This window comes from Homo sapiens, chromosome 1, assembly GCF_000001405.40.
Source record: "Homo sapiens chromosome 1, GRCh38.p14 Primary Assembly".
Lineage (NCBI taxonomy): Eukaryota > Metazoa > Chordata > Mammalia > Primates > Hominidae > Homo > Homo sapiens.
The window spans coordinates 76,852,174-76,856,019 of NC_000001.11; the positions used below are offsets into that span (position 1 = coordinate 76,852,174).

Consider the following 3,846-nt stretch of genomic DNA (forward strand, 5'->3'; position numbering starts at 1 on the left):
GCAAGAGAGAACAAGAGGAGGATGAACTCATCCTGTCATAGTAGCTCCATGCCCATCTATCAGGGTGGAAGCCTCATAAACTAATCGCCCCTTAAAGGTTCTACATCTTAATACTACTACAATAGCAAGTATATTTCAATATGTGTTTGGGAGGGGACAAACATTCAAACCAGAGCACCAAGTAATAAATACTATTTTTTCACCAATCTCAAAATAATATAACTTTTTTTAAGTTTCGGGATCCACTTTTCATGTTATGGTGCTTTAATGTGTGTGTGTGTGTGTATCTATATGTATATAAAGACACATGCATACATACACATATATATATACACATATGCATACATATATAGAAATATATAGACATATGCGTACATGTGCACATTTGTATGTGTACAGATATATACATATATCTGTGTATATATGCATATGTCTATATATATAGTCAGATATATATAGAGAGAGACACACGCGTATCTATCTATCTATATATGTCTATCTACCTATCTATCATCTCTACAGAATAGCAAGGAAGGGAATACTAAGGAAGGTCAAAGCTACACATTCTATGTTCTCTTACTTTGAATCATCAATTCAGTCATTGGGGTTCTCTGTCCAGTTAATTAATGCAGACTTTCATTATTTAGGGATTTGAACCCTTGGTGGATCTGCCTATGAGGGGTTGTAACAGTCTTCTGTTAAGATTCCATGCAGAGTCTACCATTTCCATACTTTCTTCTCTCTATTCTCACTATATAACAGCAACTCTATTTTGCCTTGCTACTCAAGTTCAACCAGCCCAGCTGAAATACAACTTCTTTTTGTGTGATCGCCTCGTGGCATAAAGAACAAGAAAGGCAAAGGGGGCACTGGCAGACTCCAATTTAAGGGAATAATTATTATGTCTCCTGGTAGAAATAGAACCCAGAGTCAAAAGGACAAGCAGCACAAATATTGCTAGGAGGTCATTAGATGCAATAATGCAAAACACCACTCCCTTCTAGCTGTCGGTTCCCAAAAGTTCACATCTTACTCATGAAGAGTAGTAGTAGGAAAACAATATTTATCAATCTCTGATTTATAGCAACATCTAGAAGAGCAAACCAGCTTTACAGGGTGTTGGCATCAACCAACAACAATAGTCTTCAATATTGCATTCCTCCACTGTGGAAGAGTAGCTGCTCGTGGGTGTTGAGGCATACAATGGTACCAGTGATTCCCAGGAGCATCAGCCCATTGCCCTTTATTCTGCTATGATTTGCATTCTTTAGCCCAACATTGCATAGACCACCATAATACTACATATGGCATTGGTGTGCCCACAGTTGGTGCCAGCATAGGCATGATGGGTGGGGAAAACAAATCCAAATCTTCTTATCAATACTATAATATAGGTATTCTTATTATTTCCACTTTACATATGAGGCAATTAAGACATAAGTTAAATAAAACTTGCCCAAGGTCACATAGTCAGTGGTAGAGACAGGATTCACATCACTGTCTGGGTCCGGTGGAAGATCTTAACCACTGGGCCTCTTTGGAGAAATTAGGTGACTCAACCAATGCAATAACCAAGACACTGGTCCTCTAATTACTGCTTTATCACTGTGTACTCTCTGCTATACTACCTGCTTGCTTTGTGGGTGCAGGAAAAACACTAAGGATTTATAACCCTAGAAGAGAAAGAGTAAACATTTTTTACATAACCATTGGTAGTGCTAAACATATCATGTTGTTTATCTTACAAATATGAAATGTGAAACCTCATTAATTTTTAAGTAGCTTAGATTTAGTAACATAGGTTTTCACCAAACAGAAGTAAACTGAAATCATTGTCACCCTCCTATGTAAAACCCTTAAGCAATTCCCCACTCACTTTAAAATAGTGTCCAAATTCCTTAGCCAGGTGAATTTCATGAATTGATCCCTGCCTACACCACCACCCCTACACCATCACTCCAGTCTTACTGCTCCTGTTGTATCCTCACTACGGGTTCCAAATATATGGAAACACAAACAAATTCTTCCATGTACCTGGGCATTTGTGTAAGATAAACCCTCTGCCCAGAAAGTTCTTCTATTTCTGGTTTAGGCCTCTGCTCTGGCCCCATATAGTCGTATTAACCATGTTTTTTTTATTTTGTTTATTTTGACACTTTGACATTTTAGGCCTTGCTGTCTCCCTGGAGGGACTGCCCCTTCAAGGGTTAGCTAATTCCTAGTGAGAGCAAACAACTAGCCTGGGAGCATGCCTTTGATATGCAAACTACCAATCCAGAGGCTGTACCCCCAACTGCCTTCTTTATCAGCTCTCATCTACCTGCCGGAATCACCCCAGGGCCAGGTACCAGACAACTAGAAACAGCCCTTACGCCAGAGACTGCTGAAATTATTCAAACTAGCCAATCCTAAATCTGCTCACTCTGCTTTGTCTAATCACAAGAAAGGCTGTTGCCCACATTGCCCCTTCCATCCTCCTCCACCCCCACCTCCTGATCGACCCTAGTGCTTCCCCACATGGCCTCTCATAGCACATTGTACCCTCTCCTCTTGAAGTTTCTGAGTGCAACTATTTTTTCTATCTATTCATCTCCTGATCTGTTGGCCTCATCATACCTAAATAATAACAAAAACTTTATTTTAAGATATGATGAGTTGATTGCTCCTGCTTTTTTGCTACCACAGTACCATAAAGATACTGCTGTTGTACTTTCCACACGCCACACAGCATTTCTTTATGGAACTGTCTCTGCTGATGGCCTATGAACTTTCTGAGAAACACTTCCATGTTTGTACTATCAGCACCTAGCCTACTGCCGGTCACAGCACAGGCTCTCAGTACATGCTTAATAGATTAATTAATTAAGTAATTATTCCTAAAAACCATGGCATGTCAAGTCGCTTCTATTCAAATCTCACTTTTCAGCTGCCCTGTCCATGTAACAATGCTTATAAATCCAGGCACCAAATTTATGCATGAAAAATTAGAACTCAACTCATTGGTACATATAACCAGTTAATATAAGTATGAAACAACTCCAACCATGGTAGCAAATGTCCAAGTCAAAAATAGGCTTTACAACTGGAAAATATTATTATTAGCTGCAAAAATGTGTGTAAAAGAAGTTCAGAGCAAAAGTACAGACTGTGGCTTTATTGCTTTAATTTTAAACTCTTCATCCCAACCCCATGAATCTGAGGGTTCATAAATTCTATTTGATGATAACTTACAAAAGGAAGAAATGGCTTCCATATATTTAAGCCCTAGATGTATAACAATACATAAATGGTAAATGATCTCACAGTATTTCATTTCAGCTACCATGTTGCTAAAGAGGGGAAATGACATGTAACTGAGGGCCTACTATGTGCCAGGGCCTGTGCTAGGTGTTAAATGAGTTATTGAGGTTAAGCCTCATGATAATCTAGCAAATTCAGTGCTGTGGCAGCCCTCTCCCTTCAAAGACACCACGTTAAATGAGCTCCTATCCTTCTACCTGATGTGGAAAGAGAAATAAATTTACATGTTAAGTTAGTCCTGGTTGGAAGGCAGTGGGAGGGCGGGACTGAAAATAGAGAATGAAACGATGCATATGCTTTACTGGAAGAGAAAATAGAAGCACCACCGAACATATAAGTATACGTAGGAAAAGATGCCAGTATCTGGGTTGAGAGGGTGCAACAAAGTAGTCATCCAAACTGCACACAGAAGGAAATAAGTAGGCAGGGTGGGTGGTGCGGGGACTTGCAAGTGCCAAGGTGACATAGAGGGAGGAGGTGTAAGGGTCTATAGCTGGGTTTCTGCTTCGATATCTTCAGCCCACACTAGAATTGTGTCTGATTCAT

General features: G+C 39.7%; 1 annotated feature.

The window, feature by feature from the left end:
- Positions 2,014 to 2,551: an enhancer, noted in NCBI's record as "OCT4-NANOG hESC enhancer chr1:77319872-77320409 (GRCh37/hg19 assembly coordinates)". NCBI's record gives its function as "activates a minimal SCP1, AML or CMV promoter by ChIP-STARR-seq in primed H9 embryonic stem cells {active_cell/tissue: H9 hESC(primed)}" and the evidence as "EXISTENCE:reporter gene assay evidence [ECO:0000049][PMID:30033119]".